The sequence below is a fragment of the Homo sapiens genome, chromosome 14, assembly GCF_000001405.40.
Source record: "Homo sapiens chromosome 14, GRCh38.p14 Primary Assembly".
Lineage (NCBI taxonomy): Eukaryota > Metazoa > Chordata > Mammalia > Primates > Hominidae > Homo > Homo sapiens.
In genome coordinates, this window is record NC_000014.9 from 52,429,556 (window position 1) to 52,454,948 (window position 25,393).

Here is a 25,393-nt window from a genome sequence, read left to right on the forward strand (position 1 = left end):
TCGTGAAACATTTCATCACAAGGGCTGGAAACAATGGACCAAGGATATTTACATTCTAGCACAGGTGAGGCAGGAGAGGGTGAAATAATATGACTCATGAGACATGAAATGTTATACAAAATGTAAATATGCACTGGCGACCAACCCTACTAGAGGACCAGGAGAATATACAGGAAAGCTATAACCACTCAGGGTAGAGAGAGGGCTTTTGGAGCTCTCAAAAATGGGTAAGAGGTAGCAGAAAGACCTGAAAAGGATACAGAGGATGGTAGAAGAACAGCAAGCAGTGTCTTGGGGATTCATGGTTTTTCTATTTCTTCATTGTTTTTCCTCCTCTGCATTCACTCTCTTTTTCTGGTAAACAGAATTTGGATTTCTTTTGTGAGATTCACCCCTTCTGCATTTGAAAGTACTGTTAGGGCCGGGCGCAGTGGCTCACGCCTGTAATCCCAGCACTTTGGGAGGCCGAGGCGGGCGGATCACAAGGTCAGGAGATCGAGACCATCCTGGCTAACACAGGGAAACCCCATCTCTACTAAAAACACAAAAAATTAGCCGGGCGAGGTGGCGGGCGCCTGTAGTCCCAGCTACTCGGGAGGCTGAGGCAGGAGAATGGCATGAACCCGGGGGGCAGAGCCTGCAGTGAGCCGAGATCACGCCACTGCACTCCAGCCTGGGTGACCAAGCGAGACTCCATCTCAAATAAATAAATAAATAAATAAAATACTGTTAGGACTGCCAATTAAAGTGCCTAGTGGTCCCCTAACCAACTTTCCCAGGACTCCCTGAGTCACAAAAGATAGTAAATCAGTTGGAACCGATTCTTCACTGAGCTGTTAGTTCCTGTTACACAGAACAGACTTAGTTCCTATCCTTTCAAAGCCTACTTTACTTTTTCTTCTCTGTGAATTATCCAATATTCTCATTTTGCTTAAGTGAGCCAAAGTCGAATTTCTGTTGCTTGTAACCAAAGAAACCCAACTGATAGAGGGAGAGTGGTCCGAGAGGGCACAGTGGAGACTAAAGGAGGCTTGTGAAGGTATTCTGAAACCCAGACACTTTATTTAAAATTATGACAAACATTAATGACTGTCAAAATTGCTGACAAAGGTACAATGACTAAGCAATTTCATGTTTCTATGTGCTGGTACTTAATTAGCATTTTCTAATAATTAGGCTAATGATGTTTTATTACTACAACCTATATTTAGAGTTCACTCTCATTGTTCCCATATTAGAAATAAAAGCAAATGAAAATGAGTTTAATCAGGCATCACATGCTACAGGAAAAAAAATTGAGGAGAGGGTGCTGAGAGTAGCAACGGGTCTATGTTATAAGGAAATATATGCACTTACTGAGTTTTAGCTGTTAGATTCCTTAAATTTCAGTTATAAAAATCAGTTGTATCAGGCAAACCATATGTGAAGAAAATTTAAAGAACAAGATATCAAGTAGATATTAAAAAGAAAAATACAGTAGAGCACCAAATAGAATATTCTCAACAAATGTCTCAAAAAATGCACAGAGCAAAAATGAGACAAACAACTGCTACAAACAGATCAGTCTAACAGCTAAGTGATTTGGAATGAAAATTAACTCTTTGGCTAATCTTTCCCTCCCTCACAGAATGAGGCCGTGTGGCTCAGGGAGATCAACTGATTTGTCTGAAGCTTGCAAGGGTAGATTTCAGAGACGCTTCAGATGAGGGAGCCTCTCTTTCCATGAGGAGATGGCAGAATGCTGAATCCCTGTTCAATCTGAAATTTAGCCATATAACTTGTAGAAATAAGAGGAGGTTTTAAGACTCACTTAAAATATAAATATCATTCTGAGTCCTCTTCTAGGGTTATCCCATCACTTTCTGAAAATATTAGAAAAGATCAAGTTGTATCCAGGTAATAATCAGGATAAGACCATCTAATACATATCTTTAATAGCCAAAATTTTTTCAAACATGATACGTGAGCAGAACCAGGAAATTCTGGAAACCTAGTCTGCCACAGGTTACTTTTAACACAAGGTTACTCAGCCTTGGCACGACTACCATTTCGGGCAGGATAATTCTTTGTTGTGGGGCGCTGTCCAATGCAGGTTATTTAGCAGGATCCCTGGCCTCTACTCACTAAATGTCAATAACTGCCCTAGTCATGACATCAAAAATGTCTCCCGACAATTGCTAAATATCCCCTGAGGTTGACAAACGCTGATTTTAATATCATGACTCCAATAAAACAAATATAACTGTCAGCTGCATGAATGCACTGTGGAGTTAACTGTGATTAGAGTTTAATTTTAATCCAAATAGAAATCATGGCTAGAACTAAGTTAATTATGCTAGTTTTTGTCTAGTACTGAACTGTCCAATACAGTAGTCACAGGCCACATGTGGCAAGGAACACTTGAAATATGGCTACTCGGAAGTAAGAAATGCAGTAAGTATAAAATATGTACTGCATTTAGAAGACTTGGTACAAAAAAGGATGTAAAATATCTCATTAATAATTTCTATATTTCGCTATTTTGGGTATACTACTGGGTGAAAAGTAATATCAAAATTATTTTGCCCTGCTCACTTTTACTTTGTTTAATGTAGTTACTAGAAAATTTTAAATAAAATATGTGACTTATATTATAATTCTATTGGATGGCACTAGTCTGCAAACTTGAAATGATTTAATATTATTCTTTAAGGAAATAAATTAAGTCTATCATGCCAAAAAAATTTTGGAAACCACAGCCCTATAAAATTAGTTCACTTTTGAGCATCCTAACTCTTTATCACGTCTAAATGATTTTTCTGCTTCTTTAAACCAATTACTTCTATTCCAATGCTTTATTCTCAGAGTTTCAATCGGTTCTTTTCTGACTGCCGATTTATCTTCATGTTGTTCCTTATCATTCTCCTGCACATCTGTTTCTTTCATACACTTGGGAACTTTCCTAGTGCCACGTTGAGATGTTGCGGCATCTATCATACTTAGAAAATCATAAGCTGGAAGAGGAGGTTTCCATTCTTGAGCAGGTAAAATTGCTGGAAGGAAGAAACAATCAAAGGTTAAAGATTAACAGCTATAAATCGTCACATCAACATATTAGAAAATGTTTTATTTTGAAAAATATATTTGTAGAAGTGAAAGTTTTATTAGTTTTACTTATCTAAGCAAAGCTAGGAATTTTTTTACTGTCATTGTCAACAAGAAATTTGATACATTTGTCACTACTAGCCATTTTCATTTTTAGATTACATTTACAAGCTATTATTTTCTTTAAAAAAAGTATGAATAGGGGAAAAAAGGTCCATAATCTCAATGCCGATTAACCTTTGCTAAGGTTTTCAAAAACAGCAATATGTGTAACAAGATCACATACACATATGTAAAACGTTAAATGAAAAAGTCACCTGCTTCCCTCTCTACTGCCAAAGAAATGTAACTATTTCTTATAAATCATTCGAGAAAAAAATTTTGGAACATATGTAATTATTTATTATAGAGTTATTTATACAAGTGTTTCCTTATATTTTAAAGCATTTTCTGTTCTTGAAGCTTTTGATTAACATCTTTTCCACACACTTTATGAAAACAAGTTCATTTCATAAAAATAATTATAGACAATAAATAATTAAAAATTGCTGTGGAATCAACTGTACTATACATAGTGATTAAATAATTTCTCTTAGATGAGCTTCATGGCAATGAATCTTAACATTATTTTAAAATATTGGTTATTGAAAGAGGAAAACTGATTAAGGCTGATAACATAGAGATAAATTAGCTAACTTTCTTCCATTTACTAGACAGTTTACAAAATAGTTTCAGAATTTAGTTGGCCCATTTAGGGTACTATTTTAAAAAATAAACTATATAAGGAAATGTACAAAGTAAACCTTTTAAAAATAAATTCCAATGAAAGAATCTATGCACTGTTACATGCTAAAAAATAATAATAAATGCTCATAAGATACAAACTTGAGCATCTCTCATAAATTGAGTATCTTTAAGAGCTTAGAAAAAACATATATATTGCAATTTCCTAGAGTAAAGCTCAAACAAAAATCTGTATATGTACACATGCAGTACAGCTGTACTTTGCTTATTGATATATAATTTCTTCACTCATACTCAACTATATGAAATCCTGGTAATTGGTACATCAGCAGGGCAATAAATTTAGGCTACTCATGAAACTGATGTTTCAAATTGGTGTTGCCAGGTTAGCAGGTTCAAAAGTGACAAATGGATGACATATTTTCTTGAACATAATGAACAGGTAAGAAGAATAACTGTAGTTTGCAATATGCAGATAAATGTATATTAAAGTATCTGTAAGAGTCCAGTTTAGGCTGGGCATGGTGGCTCACATGTACAATCCCACCACTTTGGGAAGCCAAGATGGGAGGACAGCTTGGCCCCAGGAGTTCAAAACCAGCCTGGGCAACATAGTGGTAGCCCTTCTCTACAAAAAATCAAAAAATAAAAATAAATTAGCTGGGCATGGTGGCACGTGCCTGTAGTTCCAGCTACTCGGGAGGTTGAGGCGGAAGGTACACTTGAGCCCAGATGGTTGAGGCTGCAATGAGCCGTGATTACACCACTGCACTCAAACCTGGATGAGAGAGTGTGACACTGTCTCAACAACAACAAAGAGTCCAGTTTAAAGTGTAGCATGTAGCAAATATTATATTTAACAATAGTTATTTTTTAAGGTCAACACTGCGGCCTAGCGGTCTGAGACTATGACAAAATGCCTGAAACATCCCAATTCTGCTAATTACTTGCTGAGGGAACTCTACAAAGATCTTAATGTTTTCAACTGCAAATAAAACTGTAATAATGTATGGGTAATAAATACATTATTCATCAAATCAGTAATGATAATAAATAATACTAATTAACATTTATTGAGCCTTTACTATACACATGCACTATTCATTTTATCTTTACAATTTTATAGACGAGAACACTAAAGCATACAAATATCAGGGAACTGGGCCAAAGTTAAGTGTAAATCTCAAGTAAGAATTGCCAGTGGCCACAGTTTCACAGAAATTAAGATATGCAATAAGTAAGGTGAGGCAGACACCAGTGGCACCATGTTACTGAGTTAGGCTATTTCCAGAATGTTCCTACAACTCATCCGACCCCAACCCCATCTCAGAACACCACTGTTGGCAAAGATCTATCTAACAGAGATGCTGAGAGCAGGCCCTGCTAGCACAGAAGGCAGAATCCAATACACAGAGACTGTTCAGTTTTCTTTTTCCTGCTGCAGAGGCTACAGGATTAATTTAAGAATAGGAGCAGTGATGCATAGAAATGATGGAAACCCGTAAAGAATGAGCTGGCAAAGATGTTAACAAAATTGCAATAGAAGACACGCCAGTCTCTCAGAAAACTCAGAAGTATAACGTTGATTCTTTCCTCTGGGTAATGGTTTGAGCTGAGGAATCAAAGCCCTCAGGGATGTTCCTTGCAGGAAAGGATCTTTACATAGGTGATGATAATACATTAGAGTTTATACTTTACAAAGTGCCTCTGCATTCATTTTTTAATAACTATGTGATGTATTCAGAGTGGAAACTATTAAACTCATTTTATAGTTGTAGAGGAGGAAACCAAGAATGACTTGCCTAGAGCCACATAGTAATCTAGGAAGCTAGGGCAGGAGCTCAGGTTTCTATGTTTTGAACATGTCTGCTTTTTTTTTTTTTTTTTTTTAAGTAATTCTGTTTGAGAAACATTCTAGCCCTAGCTACACATAATCTTGAGTTACAGTCCATGGGAACTCTGTGTCACTGCAGCTACAACATGACAATACTCATTTGCTTCTATAAAATAGCAATGCAGACAGTTAAGTGAACATAGACTTTCTGAGGAGTTTAAGAGCTACAGCTGAAAAGATCCCTATACCATGTGGTGAGAATGAAGTAGTCAAAGATGACTGATAACTACAGAAAGGTCTCCTTCCAGATCCACTTAAACAAAATATTGAATTTAATTAATTAATTCTGTCCCGTTTCCTAGGAAAATATTAAAACCAATAAATTGCCTCAGAAAATTAAGACAAAAATATCATCTAAAGGAACCCAGAATAGCCAAAATTGTCTTGAAAACAAAGAATAGGGCCAGGTGCAGTGGCTCATGCCTGTAATCCCAACACTTTGGGGGGCTGAGGAGGGAGGGTTGCTTGAGGCCAACAGTTCAAGACCAGCCTGGACAACACAGTGAGACCCTGTCTCTACAAAAACAAAAACAAAGACAAAAACAAAAAAATGAAGCCAGGCTTGGTGGTGCATGCATGTAGTCCTAGCTACTTGGAAGGCTGAGGTAGGAGAATCCCTTGAGCCCAGGAGTTCGGGGCTGTAGTGTGTGATGATCGCACCCCTGCACTCCAGCCTTGGTGACAGAGTGAGACCCTGTCTCAAAAAAAATAACAAAATGAAATAAAAGAAAATGAAAAACAAAGTAGGAGTAATCAAATTTCCCAATTTTAAAATCTACTACAAAGCTACAATAATCAAGACAGTGCAGTACTAGCATAAAGACAGGCACCAAACCATATACATGTATGCTCATAGCAGCATTATTCATAATCGCCATAAGTAAAGGCAACCCAACTGTCCATCAACTAAGGAATAAACAAAATGTGACATATCCTTGCAGTGGAATATTATTCATCCATAAAAAGGAATGAACTACTGGTTCATGCTATAACGTGGTTGATCCTTGAAAACCTTATGATAAGTGAAAGAAGTCAGACATAAGAAGCCACATATTATATGATACCATTTATATGAAATGTCTAGATTAGGCAAATCCATAGAACCATAAAATAGATGAGTGGGTGCCAAAGGGTGGATAGAGGAGAAAATTGAGAGTGACCGCTAATGGGTATGGGGTTTCTTTTTGGGGTGATGAAAATGTTCTGGAATTCAACAATGGTAGTAGTTGCATGATCTTGAGAATGCCTGAAAAAGTACTGAATTGTACACTCTAAAAGGGTGAATTTTATGGTATATTATATTTCAATAAAAATACCATCCATATTTTATTTAAGCATAATATGTTTGTTAAAACTGCTTAACTTGACAGAAATGAAGCAGACCACTTAGGAAGGATGGGTTTGGTGTAATGATTGACCCTAAAATAAATTAAAGTAGCTGATGAAATACATACAAATATACATAATGGTAGATTCATACTATACCTGATAGTTGACATAATATTGAATGAGAATTTGTATACCAGAGTGTATGTGTATATACATACGTACACACATACATACATATTTACATATATACACACACATACAAACCTTATTTCAGGACTCTGTCATGGAACAGTATCAAAATATTATTTTAGGATAGACCATCTAGTATCTAATAAAATCCTTATATAGTACCTAGGAGACTTTTTGTTACATTTCACACTATTTGTTCAATATACTATAATAATCTAGGTTGCTACATGTTTACTTATTTAAACTATAGCTACAGGCCTATTGTTGCCACAACTATGTATAAATGGTTAAGACTCAAATATAAATTAATATATATATCCATACTACAAATATAAATTTTTCTATGTTTTCAGAAAAGTGGATATTATGGCATGTTATAAGCCAGGATAATAGATTCTGGGCCAAGATCTATTTTCTTGTGGTTCAAAATTCTGGCTCTGTCCAAATCAGAAAGGAAGTTAAATTGTTCCTGTTTGCAGGTAGCATGATCTTATATACAGAAAACGCCTAAAGACTCCACAAAAACACCTGTTAGAACTAATCAACAAATTTAGTAAAGTTGCAGGATACAAAATAAACAAACTGGACCTTATCTCACTCTTAACTCAAAAGATATTAAAGACTTAAATGTAAGAACTTAAATTACTAAAAGAAATTATTAGACAAAAACATTATAGAAACTCTCCAGGATATTGGACTGGGCAAAGATTTCTAAATACCCCATAAGCACAAGCAACCAAAGCAAAAATGGACAAATGGGATCACATCAAGTTAAAAAAAAGCTTCTTCACAGCAAAGGAAACAATAAACAATCAACAATGTAAAAAGATAACCCACAGAATGGAATAAAATATTAGCAAACTACCTGTCTGACAAGGGATTAATAGCCAGAGAATATAAGGAGCTCAAACTACTATGGGGAAAAAAACAACTAATAATCTGATTTAAAAATTGGCAAAAGATCTGAATAGACACTTCTGAAAAGAAGACATTCAAACGGAAAATAGGTCTATGAAAACAGATATTTCTCTGATCATCAGAGAAAAGCAAATCAAACCTACAATGAGATATCACCTCACCCCAGTTAAAATGGCTTTTATCTCAAACAAAGGCAATAACAAATGCTGACAAGGATGCAGAGGAAAAGGAAGCCTTGTACACTTTGTGGGGCTCAAGACTTCAGTGGAGAAAGTAGCTGCAGATGGGGTATAAATAACAAGAGAACTAGAATTAGAAGTGGTGCCTGAAGGTGAAACTAAATTGCTGCAATCTTATGATGAATCTTGAACGGATGCTTCTCATGAATAAGCAAGGAAAGCGGTTTCTTGAGTTGGAAACTACTGGTGAAAATGCTATGAACATCGTTGAAATGACAGCAATGGATTTAGAATATTCCATAAACTTAGTTGATAAAGCAGCAGCAGCGATTCAAAGGATTGATTCCAATTTTGAAAGAAGTTCTACTGTGAATAAAATGCTATCAAACAGCATCATATACTACAGAGAAATCTTTTGTGAAAAGAAAGGTCAATCAATGCTGCAAACTTCATTGTTGTCTTATTGTAAGAAATTGCCACAGCCCAAACTTCAGCACTTCAGCAACTACCACCTGTCAGTTAGCAGCCATCAGCACAGAGACAAGACCCTCCTTCATCAGCCAAAAGGTTACAATTCCTTGAAAGCTCAGATAATTGTTGGCATTTTTTAGCAATATTTTAAAACTACGGTAAAAACATTTTTTAGACATAATGCTATTACACATTTAATAGACTTCAGTATAGTGTAAACATAACTTTTATATATACTTAGAAACCAAAAAATTTGTATGATTTGCTTTATTTCAATATTTGCTTTATTGTGGTGGTCTCATACTGAACCCTCAATATCTCTGAGGTATGCCTGTACTTAGAACCAGAATTTTATATAACAATAATGCACTATTTGTAAAATATCCTCATTTTCTATAAAACCACATATTTGCTTACAGTTATAAAAAGAAAACAAGCTGGCATGCACATGGAAAAAGCTGCACAAGAAATATCTTCTGAAATCTACAATTTTAAATTTTATAAAAATAGATGAAATACTTATGCTTTGGTAGGCCAAAGCTCCCACTGTAACAACTTTTTTAATGGCATAAATTACCAAAATCATATGTTTGAATACACTGGTGATCTATACAAGTAACATGGACTCAATGAATTAAAATTCAAGAAACAGGCCTTCACAGGGGAGCCGATCACTGACTGAAGCCTTGCACCTTTGGCCTCCCAGTCAGAGACTGTCCACATGGATGATGCTACCAGCATTTTAATAACTCATCCTACCATTCTTTAGCTATATTTAGAGTTTAACATTTATGGAACAAAATGCAGAACTACATGTATTAAACAAAACAGAAAACTTACTGATATGATTTTCTAGTCCTGCTTCTAATTTCTTCAGCCACAATACAAGGTTTTCTTCAATTATAGCCTGGTCTGAAGGAAATGCAAATACTTGGCCACCTGAATGCAGATTCACCAAAACAAGAAGAGGAAGGGGAGGCAGAGGATCAAAATATGCCCTCAAGATTCCTCTCCCCACTGGAGTATTCTTTCTGCAAAAGGGAACAATTGAACATATTAATATTTCTTTCTACAACAAAATAATGAAAATAGTAATTCGTAGAACATTAAACTTTTAAGTAGTATCATGCCAGTAAGTTCACTTTATGAAAAGATGTCCTAAAAACCAAGAAGTCTACGACATGTTATTAGTAACCGGATTCTTTTAAAGTTTCTTTTTAACATGGGGCACTTTGTTTCACTTGGGAGAAAAGCGGCAGCCAATGACAATTTTAATGAAAAGCAGGCATAGCCCAAAGGCTTGTCAATTTAGGCTTGACGCAACCAGTAGTTTCCTTCCAACATTTGGCCAAGTATCTGATCATACATCAGCTCAAAAATTAAATGATTACATAACTAGAAGATAACAAGATACTTATTTTTATAAATACTTCTTTTCCATAGAATTGTGCCTTTTCTCAGGAAAAGGCATTAATTTCAAATTAAAGAAGTAGAAATAATTATGTTCATACAAGGAAACTCTAAGTTAAAGATACTTAGTTTTCCTAATGTAACACATTCTACAGTTTATAAAATACTATTTTACTCTTAGATACCTGTAATGATAATTGCCTGGGAAAATGTTGCCTCAAGCAGTAGAATGCACTGTTAAACTCTTCACAGCAAAAATGTACACTGCCCCATTTCTGTTATTTTTCAAATGATTTTAAAGAATAAATATGTCTTTCATCTGATGAATCTGAACAAGGGGCAGTATATTATTTGTGAATTTTGTTCACAGACATTAAATGTAACACAATCCATACATCTAGAAAACATACTAGGAAATATTGCTGATGAATGCACTGAAATCTGTCTGAACTTTAAAAATATAGAAGTACAGAAAAAGGAACTGAAGGAAAAGTCCAAAAATCACAATGTTTACTATTCTGTATTTGCCAAATTTTCTCAATGGGCATCAATTCCTTTTAAAAAGTAGAACAATTATTTCTTTTAAAATTTTACTGTAGAATAAAATTTAATCTAAAATAAGGTCATCTTGGACCTTGTTTGGGGGAGTTTTGTTACTAAAATATCATGGTGACATATTTGGTTCCATAAAATTAACTCCAAAGAGTTAGAGAGTTTCGTTTCCTAATGAAAATGTAATAATTATTACTTTCTTTACCTCTTACATATTAAAAAATAAACACATACTTACAGATTTAACCAGCATGGAGTAAATGAATCCAAGTATTTCTGCTTTACCAGTGTCAATATTGCTTTTTTATACTGAGGATTTACAGTGCCATCACTGAACAAAATCAATAATGGTTTCTGAAGTCTGAAATAACTGGGAAGATTTTCCACAGTGATTTCCGGCTGTCAAAGAAAAGGAATAACAACAATAAAAAATGCATTGGGGATGATAATGCATACCACAGAAGACATTCAAATCACTCAGTCAATTTTAGTTTGTAAAATGTAATTCAAACACATTTTCACTTAAGTAGAGATTTTACTATATTAATAACTATGAATCTCAATCGTCTTATTCAATCCCACCTCATCTGAATGAGTTATTTTCAAAATAAAACTACACAGAATTTGAGAATAAATTAATTTAAAGGAGTCCCCTGTTTTACAAGATGTAACACTTCTAATAATTTATTATGCTAAAGTCTGGACCAGACTAACCAATATACACATGACAATTGTTATATTTTTTCCTCTAACATAACAATTTTGAAGAAAACTGTAAGCTGAAAAAGTATTTTCTTTAACATCTATCATTACTTAATAAATATAAAATTTTACTTTTTCCAATATTATGGTTAAAATCATAATTAAAATAACCAAAAATATGCTAAAACAAATCCAAACACCAATCTTGTTTCTTTTGAGTTTAAAATAACTGAAAGAATTTAATATGAAATTAGAAATCTAATCCTTTTATCATTTTTATTACTAATTAAAAGATAGGAGGCTGGGAGTGATGGCTCACGCCTGTAATCCCAGCACTTTGGGAGGCCGACGCAGGCAGATCGCCTGAGGTCAGGAGTTCGAGACCAGCCTCACCAACATGGCAAAACCCTGTCTCTAATAAAAGTACAAAAATTAGCTGGGTATGGTGGTGCCCGCCTGTAATCCCAGCTACTCTGGAGGGTGAGGCAAGACAATCGCTTGAACCCAGGAGAGGGAGGTTGCAGTGAGCCGAGATTGTTCCACAGCACTTCAGCCTGAGCAACAGAGTGAGACTCTCAAAAAAAAAAAACCCAAAAAACAAAAACAAAAACAAGATAAGGAGGTAATCATTCTCCTGCAATTCGCCCATGCTATGCACATTAAAATAAAATTTTGTATGCCTTTCTCCTATTAATCTGCCTTTTTTCAGTTATTTTCATGGAACCTTCAGAGGACAAAGAGGAAGCTTTCTCTTGGCCACTGCACTCTTTTTATCTTAGAAATACTTCCTTTCTCCACTCACCTCCAACTCAAGGAAGGGCCTAAAATTCTATTATATTAATATTAGCAGTAATGACTGTCTATCCTCTCTCTCTTTCTATTCTCTCTTTCACACCTTTCTGTAATGGGGTAGACTTAAACAGTCACTTGATTACAAGTCAGAATCCCAGGTTCTGGATTCATGGAATTGTCACAGTAATAAAACTTTGAGCAAAGCACTCTGTACCCCAGTTTTTAAATCTGTGAAATGAGGGAATTGAAAGAAAAAAAATAAAAGAGAATAACCATTTTAAAATGTATTTGTAGAAGACAATTTGTCTACGCTGTCAGTAACAAGAATTGGAAAGTGCAACAACAATGCTAATATATTTAGGATTAAAAATAGCAATGACATAGAATAATAAAACCTTCTACCATTTTCAGTTCCACGTCCATTATTTCATCCTCTGGATACACCTGCGAGCTAGATATATCATCCTGTATCAGATAGATAACCCCCAGCTGACATATGGGGAAGCCAACACAGAGACTAACTTGCTTAAGTCACCACGGCTAAGCAGGGGGAAGGAGTGATGGTAGAATCCAGGCATTCTGCTCACCAGTTTCCCCTTTCTTTAGATCGCACTACAAATTCAGATGAACTTGTTTTTAATGGTGTCACCCACCTCTAAATATAGTCCTAGTTCATCCTGAAGTGCCAAATTCTGGCATATAACTTTCCCTTTTCAGTTCTCAGAGCAGCTTGCATTTGCCCATTCTCATTTTTCTTCTAATTATCTCTCTTTCACACTCAAAATCTCCTTCTTACACCTTCCTCTTTCATGGCTTAAATCTTAGATCACTTTTTCTCCAAATTCCCCTATGCTGTCTTCTTGTGTTAGCTTTCATCCTTTAATCTTGTAGTTGAGTTAGATCCCTCTCCTAAATATTGACAGATCTTTTATTGAACAAGCAGAAACATTAGGTGAGACAGAGTCACCACAGCTCAATTCAAACATTTATTGAGGACAAAGTTCAAGATGTTATGCTGGGTGCTGAATCTATAAAGAAATAAGATCCTTTCCTTGCCTTCAAAGAGTTCATACTTTAGAAGAGAAGACAGGTAAGTATACAGACTGCTATAATAAATAAAAAATTTAATGTATGACAATAAGAAAACTTATTGGTTCGAAATTAAACAAGCTAAAAACACAAGGTAGGTGTGATGGTTAATACTAAGTGTCAACTTGATTGGATTGAGGGATGTAAAGTATTGATCCTGGATGTGTCTATGAGGGTGTTGTCAAAGATTAACATTTGAGTCGGTGGGCTGGAAAAGGCAGACCCACCTTAATCTGGGTGGGCACCATCTAATCAGCTGCCAGCACAACTAGAAAAAAACATAAAGCAGACAGAAAAAAGTGTAAAGACTAGACTGGCCTAGTCTCCCAACCTACATCTTCTCCTGTGCTGGATGCTTCCTGCCCTCGAACATCAGACTCTTAAGTTCTTCAGTTTTGGGACTCGAACTGGCTTTCCTTTCTCCTCAGCTTGCAGATGGCCTATTGTGGGACCGTGTGATTTTTATTAGTTAAAACTTAATAAACTCCCTTTTATTATATCTATCCTATTAGTTCTGTCCGTCTAGAGAAACCTGACTAATACAGTAGGGGAGCTCATGGATGATTTTAGGAATTGATATTTGAGCTGGACCCTGGATAAAGAATAAGATCTTGACAGACTGAGGTGTGTGCTTGAGCAGGGATTTCAGACATAGGGAACATCATGAAGATAGGCAGAGAGCTATTAAAGCATACATAATATTTTGGAATAGTGATAATGAAGGATGCCAGAGTTAGGCATGCAAGAGGCAAATATGGCTGTGAGACCAGATGAGTAATGCCTTCATAAGTATTCTAGCTCCTGGGAATACTGAGAAGATTTCTGTATCAGATTGGTGACACAGTTAGGCCTGTTTTTCAAAAGATGACTAACTAGAATATAAATTTGTGAAAAGAAGGACCAGTGGAAGGACCCTACTCTTTCCTATGTCTAGTCAAAAGAGAAAGACCAAGAGATTTGTGAGTTTAGAAGGAAACTGAGTTCTAAAATTAAACACTCGGATTTAGGAATCATCAGCTGGTAGTGATGGTAGAAGTTATGGGTATGGATAAAATTTTCCAAAGAAAAGACATAGCAAAAGAAGAAAAAAAAAGAGTTGAAGATGTAATTCTAGGGAATAAATGAGACAGAGGATGGTCAGATGGACAAAAGAGGACTGAATTACAAAAGCCGGAAGAAAAGAGAATGTTGAGGAGGAATGGTATAGACAACAGTTTTGACTGCTACTGAGACACTAAGGAGAAACACAGTTAAGAGGTCATCAAATGTGGTACTTGGAAGGTGACCTTTGGCTCTCTGAGTATATAACAGACTATAACTGTGTGGGTCCTGGTGTTCTAAACTTGTCAATAATAAAAGCATAAAAAAGGAACTCAGTTTATCTGAGAAAAATACTAAACCCTATTTCCTAACAGGAAACAGTCTTAAATATATCAATGCTTATGTAGTTAATTATTGTGTATTTCAGATTTAAGCATTATTTATCTGGCCCAATTTGTCATCAGGTTCATTAAAATAAAAACTTCATACCATAATAAAAAATCTTCACCCTCTGGTCATCAACTCTCCTTCCTCATCCAGATGAAGGCACTAAAGTCTCTCTAAAGCCTATTTAATCTTTATTATAGCTGTTCAGTATTAAGTTGAACACCACAAATAAAAACATTGGAAACAAACTGTCACAATGCATATTACATTTGTTGTTACTGTAAACAGATTTTGATACTAAGTTTCTCCTACGTTTCTAAGGTTTAATGAATATAATCTTTAAAAAAATTAGAGACCAATTTTTATCCACTAAATATACCAAGATAAAAAGAGTAAAATGATACAAATCTTCTGTCAGGAAATACAAAAGTTATCAGAAGCCTCAAAAGTGGGCCTACTCTTTGGACAACCAATTCAAATTCTAGAAATTTAACCTAAATCCATAATCATAGATACACCCAAAGATTACCTAAAAGGATGTTCCCTGAATTATAAATAAAACAAAAACTAAAGACAGCTTAAACAACCATCAAGAGGAAATGGGCTAAATAAATTTTGGTACATTAGTAAACAATATTATGCAGATGTTAAAAATTAAAATGTGTATCTATAGTACTTGATGGAAATACATTAATATAAAAAGGCACACAGATACATACAGAATTTAGGTTTGGGGAAATGTATTTCCTAACGTAAACTTGGGTAGAAAAGTTATGGTTGATTATAATTTTCTTCTTTATCCTTTCTGTATTACCTGAAAAAGCCAAACAAAGGCTTCTAGTAATTCCAAAAATACTACACTATGTATATGCTAAAGGAATTACTTAATAACATGTCATTAATAACATAAATGTTACTTTAATAAGTAATTTAGAAACATACATCATGAACATATCAATTCAATGATTTGATTATTTATAACCTATAATTTTAACAGGAGGAAAGGACAGAACCAAGACACAAAAAGACTTAATAAAGACTGCAGTCCCTTAGTTGAGCCCAAAATGTAATGTCCTTTAGATCATCAAGACAAAAAACCTAACAGGATATTCATTTAGCATCTATAGCTAATAAAAATGCTCCTTGAGTCACTTCAGAAATGTAGAAAAGTATAAATTCTAGCTATGTTTAATATGAAAGCAAACAACTAAAATCAGGTAACACAGGTTACATTTGTTGTGCCCTTGAATCCACTATTATACAGTCATGCATCGCATGATGTTTCAGTCAACAATGGAGTACATGTAAGATGGTGGTCCCATAAGATTATACCATGTTTTTACTGTACCTTTTCTATGTTTAGATTCACAAATATTTACCATTGTTACAAGAGCCTACAGTATTTAGTAAAGTAACATGCTGTACAGGTTTGTAGCCTAGGAGCAATATGCTATACCTTACAGCGTAGGTACGTAGTAGGCTATACCACCTAGATTTCTGTAAGTACACTCTATATAAAGTTTGTATGATAAAACTGCCTATCGATGCATTTCTCAGAAGATATCCTCGTTAAGTGATGCATGACTGTAAAAGTAAAACATAAGAAAAAGCCTTTCATAAGACAATATTTTTTTCTAAAACTGTACAAATAGGAGAGTGAAGCAAGATGGCAGACTAGAGTACTCTACCAGTCATCCCCTCTTCCCCTGCAATGACTACTGCAATTTAACAACTATCTACACAAAAAAGCACCTTCATAAGAACCAAAAATCAGGTGAGTACTCACAGTACCTGGTTTTAACTTTATATCGCTCAAAGAGGCACTGAAGAGGTAGGAAAAACAGTCTTGAATCATCAATGATACCCTTCTCCCATCCCCTGGCAGTGGCCACACTGCATGAAGAGAGAATCTATGTGTTTGGGAGAGGGAGAGCACAGCAATTGTGAGACTCTGCATTGAACTCAGTGCTGCCCTGTTTTAACAGCAGGCAAAACCAGACTGAACTCAGTGCATGCTCGCCCACAGTGGGTGTATTTAAACCATCTCTAGCCAGAGCAGAAATGCCCATCCTAGAAGTCAGAACTTGAATTACAGCAAGACTTGTCACCTCAGGCTGGAGTGTGCTGGGGCCCAAATAAACTTGAAAGGCAGTCTAGGCAACAAAGGCTGCAACTCCTAGGTGAGTCCTAGGGCTGAACTGGGCTCAGAGCCAGCAGACTATAGGCACACATGACCTACTGAGATACCAGCCAGGACAGCTAGGGGAGTGCTGATGCCACCTCTCCCCTAATCCCAGGCTGCACAGCTTGTAGCTCCAAAAGAGACCCCTTCCTTCTGCTTAAGGAGAAGAAAGGAAAGACTGGGAAAGACTTTGTCTTGCATCTTGGATACCAGCTCAGCCACAGGAGGACAGGGCCCTGGTCAGAGTTGTGAAGCTCCCTTTCCAGGTCCCAGCTCTTGGATGACATTTCTAGATACACCCTGGGCCAGAAGGGAAACTGCTACCTCTATGGGAAAGACCTAGTCCTGGCAGCATTTATCAACTGCTAAGTGAAGAGCCCTTGGGCCTAGGTAGTACATTGTAGGACTTGAGTGAGACTCCGAGACTTGCTGACTTCAGGTGAGACTAAGCACATTCTTAGCTGTGGTGGCTATGGGGTGAGACTCCTTCTGCTTGAGAAAAGTAGAGGGAAAAGTAAAGGGGACTTTGTCTTGCACCATAGGTACCAGCTCTGCCAGAGAAGGGTAGAACACCAAGCGGGTTTTGGGGGGGCCACAATTCTAGGCCTTGGCTCTTGGATGGCATTTCTGGACCTTACCTGGGCCAGAGGCAAGCCCACTATCCTGAAGCATGAGTCCCAGGCCAGAAAGCATTCACTACAAGCTGATGGAAGAGCCCTTGGGCCTTAAGAGAACATGAGCAGTAGCCTGCCAGTACTCCCTGTGGGCCTGTGGTAGCAGTGGCCATGGGGTGAGGCTCCTCTATCTGGTCCTGGAGGAATTCACCATCCTAAAGGGAAGAACACAGGCCCAGCTGGCTTAGCCACCTCTGATTTTAGAGCCCCAGGGCCTTAAGTGAACATAGGCAGTAGCCAGGGAGTGGTTACAGCAAGTGTTGGGAGAGACCCAGTACTGTGCTGGCTTCATGTCTGACACAGCACAGTGCCAGTGGTGGTGGCCCCTGAGGGTGGTTGCGTCACTCCACCCCCAGCCCCAGGTGGCTCAGAACAGAGAGACGGACTCCATTTGTTTGGGAGAAAGTAAGAGAAGAGAACACCTTTAACGCCCAGACACAGACAAACATCCAACAGTATCAACAGTGTCCTGGAAAAGATGACCTCACCAAATGAACCAAATAAGACACCAGAGACCAATCCTGGAGAAACAGAGCTATGTGTCCTTTCAGACAGAGAAATCAAAAGAGCTGCTTAGAGAAAACTCAAAGAAATTCAAGATAACACAGGGAAGGAATTCAGAATTCTACCAGATAAATTTAAGAAACAGAAATAATTAAAAAGAATCCAGCAGAAATTCTGGAGCTCAAAAATGCAACTAAACTAACATATGTAGAATACATCAGAGTCCTTTAAGAGCAGAAATGATCAAGCAGAAGAAAGAATTACTGAGCTTGAAGACAGGCTATTCATAAACAGTCAGAGGAAACAAAAGAAAAATGAAAAAAAAAAACAATGAAGCAGGCCTACTAGGATCTAGAAAATAGCCTCAAAAGGACAAATCTAAGAGTTACTGGCCTTAAAGAGGAGATAGAGAAAGAGATAGGGATAGAGTGTATTCAAAAGATAGTAACAGAGAATTTCCCAAACTTAGAAAAAGATATCAATATCCAAGCACAAGGTTATAAAACACTATGCAGATTTAACCCAAAGAAGATTACTTCAAGGCATAATCAAACTCCCAAAGGTCAAGGATTTAAAAAAAAGGATCCTAAAAGCAAGAGAAAAGAAATACAACACACAATGTAGCTCCAATACACCTAGCAGCTGACTTTTCAGTGGAAACCTTACAGGACAATAACATGACATATTTAAAGTGCTAAATTAAAAAAAAAAACTTTTTACCCTAGAATAGTATAACTGGTGAAAATATCCTTCAAATATGAAGGAGAAATAAAAACTTCCCCAGACAAACAAAATCTGAGGAATTTCATCAACACCGGATCTGTCCTACAAGAAATGCTAAAGAGAATGCTTCAATCAGGAAGAAAAGGACACTAATGAGCAATAAAAATTCATCTAAAAGTACAAAACTCATTGCTAATGGTAAGTACACTGTAAAACACAGAATATAATGCTTAACTGTGCTGTGTAACCTACTCTTAAGTAGAAAGACTAAACAATGGACCAATCAAAAATAATAACCACAACAATTTTTCAAGACACAGATGGTACAATAAGATATAAATAGAAGCAATAAAAAGTTAAAAAGCAGGAGATGAAGTTAAACTAGAGTTTAACTTGACAGAGTGTAGAGTTTTTATTAGTTTTCCTTTGCTTGTTCGTTTATGCAAACAGTGTTAAGTTGTTATTGGCTTAAAATAACAAGTTATAAGGTAGTATTTACAAGCATCATGGTAACTTCAAATCAAAAAACAAAACAAATACACACAAAAAAATTTTAAAAAAATTAAATCATATCACCAGAGAAAATCACCTTCACTAAAAAGATGACAGGAAGGAAGACCACAAAACAACCAAAGAACAAATAACAAAATGGCAGGAGTAAGTCCTTACTTATCAATAATAACATTAAATATAAACAGACTAAACTCTCCAGTCAAAAGACACAGAATGGCTGAAGAGATTAAAAAAAAATAATAAGATCCCATGATCAGTTGCCTAAAAGAAACACACTTCACCTATAATGATATACAAAGACTGAAAATAAAAGGATGGAAAAAGATAATCCATGCCAATGGAAACCAAAAAGAGCAGGAGTCGTTATACTGATATCAGACAAAATAGATTTCAAGACAAAAACTGTAAGAAGAGACAAATAAGGTCACTATACAATGATAAAGGGGTCAATATAGCAAGAAGATATAACAATTGTAAATATATATGCACCCAACACTGGAGCACCCAGGTATATAAAGCAAATATTATTAGGGCCAAAGATAGAGATAAACTCCAACACAATAACAGCTGAAGATTTCAACAACCCACTTTCAGCAATGGACAAATCTTCTTGACAGGAAATCCGCAAAGAAACCTCAGATTTAATCTGCACTACAGACAAAATGGGCCTAATAGATATTTACAGAACATCTCATTCAATGGCTGCAGATACACATTCTTCTCCTGAGCATATGGATCATTGTCAAGGATAGACTTTAGGTTAAGTCATAAAACAAGCCTTATAACATTTAAACAAAAAATCTGAAATAATATCAAGCATCTTCTCTCACCACAATGGAATAAAACTAGAAATCAATAACAAGAGCAATTTTGGAAACTATACAAACACATGGAAATTAAACAATATGCTCCTGAATGACCAGTGGGGTCAATGAAGAAATTAAAAAAGAAATTTTAAAATTTCTTGGAAAAAAACCATACCCAAACCCTTGGGATACACTGAAAGCAGTACTAAAAGGAAAGTTTATAGCAATGAGCACCTACATCAAAAAGTGGAAAAACTTCAAAGAAACAACCCAATGATACACCTAAAGAACTAGAAAAGCAAGAGCAAACCAAACCCAAAATTAGCAGAAGAAAAGAAATAATAAAGATCAGGGCAGAAATAAATGAAATTGAAATGAAGAGAACAATACAAAACATCCAGGAAACAAGTTGGTTTTCCGAAAAGTTAAACAAAATTGACAAACCCTTAGTCAGACTAGCTAGGAAACAAAGAGAGAAGACCCAAATAAAATCAGAGATGAAAAAGGAGACATTACAATTGATATAGCAGAAATTCAAAAGGTCATTAGTAGCTACTATGAGCAACTATATGCCAATAAATTGGAAAATTTAGAAGAAATGGACAAATTCTTAGACACATACAACCAACCAAGATTGAACCATGAAGAAATTCAAAACCTAAATGGACCAATAACAAACAAGGAGATTGAAGCTATAATACAAAGGCTTCCAGAAAAAAAAAAAAAAGCCAAAGCTCGGGACCCAATGGCTTCACTGCTGAATTATACTAAACATTTAAAGAACTAATACCAATTATCAGGGAAATACAAATCAAAACCGCAATGCAATTCCACCTTACTCCTGCAAGAATGGCCATAATTTAAAAAAATAACAGATGTTGGCATGGATGTGGTGAAAAGGGAACACTTTTACACTGCTGGTGGGAATGTAAACTAGTACAACCACTATGGAAAACAGTTGGAGATTCCTTAAAGAACTAAAAGTGTATCTACCATTTGATCAAGCAATCTCACTACTGGTGCACACACGTTTATAGTAGCACAATTTGCAATTGCAAAAATACAGAACCAGCCCAAACGCCCATGAATCAACAAGTGGATAAGAAAATGTGTTTTATATATATATATATATATATATATATACACACACACACACATACATATATATATGTATACATACACACACATTGTGGAATACTACTCAGCCATAAAAGGAAAGAAATAATGGCATTCAAAGCAACCTGGATGGAGCTGGAGACCATTATTCTAAGTAAAGTAACTCAAGAATGGAAAATCAAACATCATATGTTTCTAAGTGTAAGCTAAGCTATGAGGACACAAAAGCATAAGAATGAAATAATGGGCATTGGGGGCTTGAGGGGAAGGGTAAAAGGAGGGTGATGGGATAAAAGACTATACATTGGGTACAGTGCATAATGCTCAGGTGATGGGTGCAGAAATCACCACTAAAGAACTTACCCATGTAACCAAATCCCACTTGTTCCCCAATAACCTATTGAAATTTAAAAAAAAAAAAAACATGAATACTAATCCTACTCAAACTATCCTGGAAAATAGAGGAGAAAGGAGTAATTCCAAACTCATTCTACAAAGCCAGTATTACCCTGGTATAAAAACCAGACAAAGGCATATCAAGAAAACAACAGGCCAATATCATTGATGAATATCAATTGATGCAAAAATCCTCAACAAAATATTAGCAAACCAATTCAACAATACATTAAAAAGATCATTGATCATGTCCATGTATGATTTACCCCAAGGATGCGAGGATGGTTCAACATACACAAATCAATCAATGTGATACATTATATCAACACAATAAAGGACAAAAACCATATGATCATTTCAACTGATGCTGAATAGCATTTGATAAAACTCAACATCCCTTCATTAAAAAAACCCTCAAAAAACTGGGTACAGAAGGAATATACCTCAACATAACAAAGCCATATATGCCATAGCCACAGCTAGTGTCATTCTGAATGGGGAAAAAGTCTTTTCTCTAAGATCTGGAACGTGACAAGGATACCCACTGTCATGACTATTATTCAACATAGTACTGGAAGTCCTAGCTAGGGCAATCAAACAAGACAAAGAAATAATAGGCATCCAAATTGGAAGGGAAGAAGTCAACTTATCTTTGTTTGCAGATGATATAATCCTATATTTGGAAAAACTAAAGACTCCATCGAAAAACTATTCAAGCTGATAAACAAATTCAGTAAAGTTGCAAGACAAATCAAAATACAAAAATCAGCAGCATTTTTATATGCCAACAGTGAACAATCTGAAAAAGAAATCAAGAAAGTAATCCTATTTACAATAGCCACAAGTAAAATTAAATACCCAGGAATTAACTAAAGAAGTGAAAGATCTCTACGATGAAAACTATAATACATTGATGTAAGAAACTGAACTGAACACACAAAAATAGAAAGATGTCCCATGTTGATGGACTGGAAGAATCACTGTTGTTAAAATGTTCTTAATACCCAAAATAACTACAGATTTAATGCAAGCCCTATCAAAATACCAATGATATTCTTCACAGAAATAGAAAAAATAATTCTAACATTTATATGGATTCACAAAAGACCCAGAATAGCCAAAGCTATTCCTAAGCAAAAAAAGAACAAAACTGGAGGAATCACATTACCTGACATCAAATTATACTATAGAGCTATAGTAACCAAAGTGACATGGTACTGGCATAAAAACAGGCACATAGACCAATGGAACAGAATACAGAATGCAGAAATAAATCTGTACATCTACAGTGAATTCGTTTTCGACAAAGGTTCCAAGAACATACATTGGGGAAAGAATAATTTCTTCAATAAATGGTGCTGGGAAAATTGGATATCCATAGGCAGAATGAAACTAGGCCCCTATCTCTCATCATATACAAAAATCAATTCAAAATGGATTCCAGACGTAAATCTAAGACCTTAAACTATGAAACTACTACAAGAAAACACTGGGGAAACTCTACAGGACACTAGACTGGGCAAAGACTTCTTGAGCAATATTATCCCACAGGCACAGGCAACCACAGCAAAAATGACAAATGGGATCACATCAAGACAAAATGGTCCTGCACAGCAAAGGACACAATCAACAAAGTGGAGAGAGAGCCCACAGAATGGGAGAAAATATCTGCAAACTACCCATCTGACAAGGGATTAATAACCAGAATATATAAAGAACTGATACAACTCTGTATCAGTAGGAAAAAATCTGATTTAAAAAATGGGCAAAAGATCTGAATAGACATTTCTCAAAAAAATACATACAAACAGCAAACAGGTACATGAAAAGGTGCTCAACATCATTGATCATCAGAGAAATGCAAATCAAAACTACAATTAGGTATTATTCCATTCCAGTTAAAATGGCTTTTATCCAAAAGGCAATAACAAATGCTGGTGAGGATGTGGAGAAAAGGGACCCCTCGTATACTCTCAGTGGGAATGTAAATTAGTGCAACCACTATGGAGAACAGTTTGGAGGCTCCTCAAAAAACTAAAAATAGACATATCTTACCATTCAGCAATGTGACTCCTGAGTACATTCCCAAAAGAATATCAGTATACCAAAGAGATATCTGCACTCGCAGATTTATTGTAGCACTATTCATAACAGCCAAGATTTGGAAGCAACCTCAGGGTCCATCAACAGATGAATGAATAAAGAAAATATGGTACATACACACAATGAAATACTATTCCGTCATAAAAAAAAGAATGAGATTCTGTCATTTTTAACAACATGAATGGAACTGGAGGTCATGATGTTAAATTAGATAAGCCAGGCACAGAAAGACAAAAAGCACATGTTCTCACTTATCTGTGGGAGCTAAAACTTAAAACAATTGAACTCATGGAGATAGAGAAAAGGATGGTTACCAGAAGCTGGGAAGGGTAGTGGAAGAGGACTATTGAAAAAACTGGATATCCATATGCTGAATGAAACTAGACTGCTATCTTTCACCATATACAAAACCCAGTACAGCCTCTGGTTGTACTAATTTACATTCCCACCAAGAGTGTACAAGAGGTCTCTTTTCTCCACATCCTCACCAGCATTTGCTACTGCCTATCTTTTGGATAAAAAAAGCCTTTTTAACTGGAAATGGTGGGGAGGGGGGAAGTAGGGATGGTTAATGGGTACAAAAACTAGTTTGAAAGAATAAAGAAGACCTAGTATTTGCCAGTATAACAGGGTGATATAGTAAAAAATAATTTAATTGTTCATTTAAAAATAACTAAATGAGTAAATTGGATTGTTTGAAACACAAAGGGTAAACACTTGAGGTAATGGATACCCTATTTACTCTGATGTGACTACTATGCATTGCATGTTTGTATCAAAATACCTCATGTGGCCAGGTGCAGTGGCTCATGCTGTAATCTCAGCACTTTGGGAGGCCAAGGCAGGAGGATCACTTGAGCTCAGGAGTTCGAGACCAGCCTGGGCAACATGGTGAAACCCTGTCTCTACAAAAAAATACCAAAATTATCCGATGTGGTGGCACATGCCTGTAGTCCTGGCTACTTGGGAAGCTGAAGCAAGAGAATCACTTGAGACCGGCAGGCGGAGGTTGCAGTGAGCCGAGATCACATCATTGCACTACAGCCTGGGTGACGGAAGTGAAACTCTGTCTAAAAAAAAAAAAAAAACAAAAGCTCATGTAACCCATAAATATATTCATCTACTATGTACCCAGAAAAATTAGAAATTAAAAACTTTTTTTAAACCAGGCTGGGCACGGTGGCTTATGCCTGTAATCCCAGTACTTTGGGAGGCCGAGGCAGGCGGATCACTTGAGGTCAGGAGTTCGAGACCAGCCTGGCCAACATGGTGAAACCTTGTGTCTACTAAAAATACAAAAAAAAAAAAAAAAAAAAGCCAGGTGTAGTAGTGAGCGCCTGTAATCCCAGCTACTTGGGAGGCTGAGGCAGGAGAATTGCTTGAACCCGGGAGGCGGAGGTTGCAGAGAGCTGAGATCACAGCAACAGAGTGAGACCCATCTCAAAAACAAAACAAAAAAACCCATATAAGTAATAAGAATAGTAACTAACATTTGTTGGATGCTTACCATGGACTAAATAATATACACAAAGCACTATCAAATCATGTCTCATTCAGTCCTCACAATAACTGTCTGCAGCAGATGCTACTATGAG

The 25,393-nt window shown here is 36.1% G+C and overlaps 1 protein-coding gene across 2 annotated transcripts in view; it reads right to left on the reverse strand.

The window, feature by feature from the left end:
• Positions 1-1,040: 1,040 nt before the first annotated feature.
• TXNDC16 (thioredoxin domain containing 16) overlaps positions 1,041-25,393 on the reverse strand; it is a 121,910-nt gene continuing 97,557 nt past the window's right edge. For both annotated transcript variants that reach the window (NM_001160047.2, NM_020784.3), the window contains exons 19-21: positions 11,009-11,169; positions 9,649-9,839; positions 1,041-3,032 (exon numbers count right to left, since the gene is read on the reverse strand). In NM_001160047.2, the coding sequence (NP_001153519.1) occupies positions 2,749-3,032; positions 9,649-9,839; positions 11,009-11,169 (636 nt within the window). In that variant the 3' untranslated portion in view covers positions 1,041-2,748. The remainder of the gene's footprint in view (positions 3,033-9,648; positions 9,840-11,008; positions 11,170-25,393) is intronic.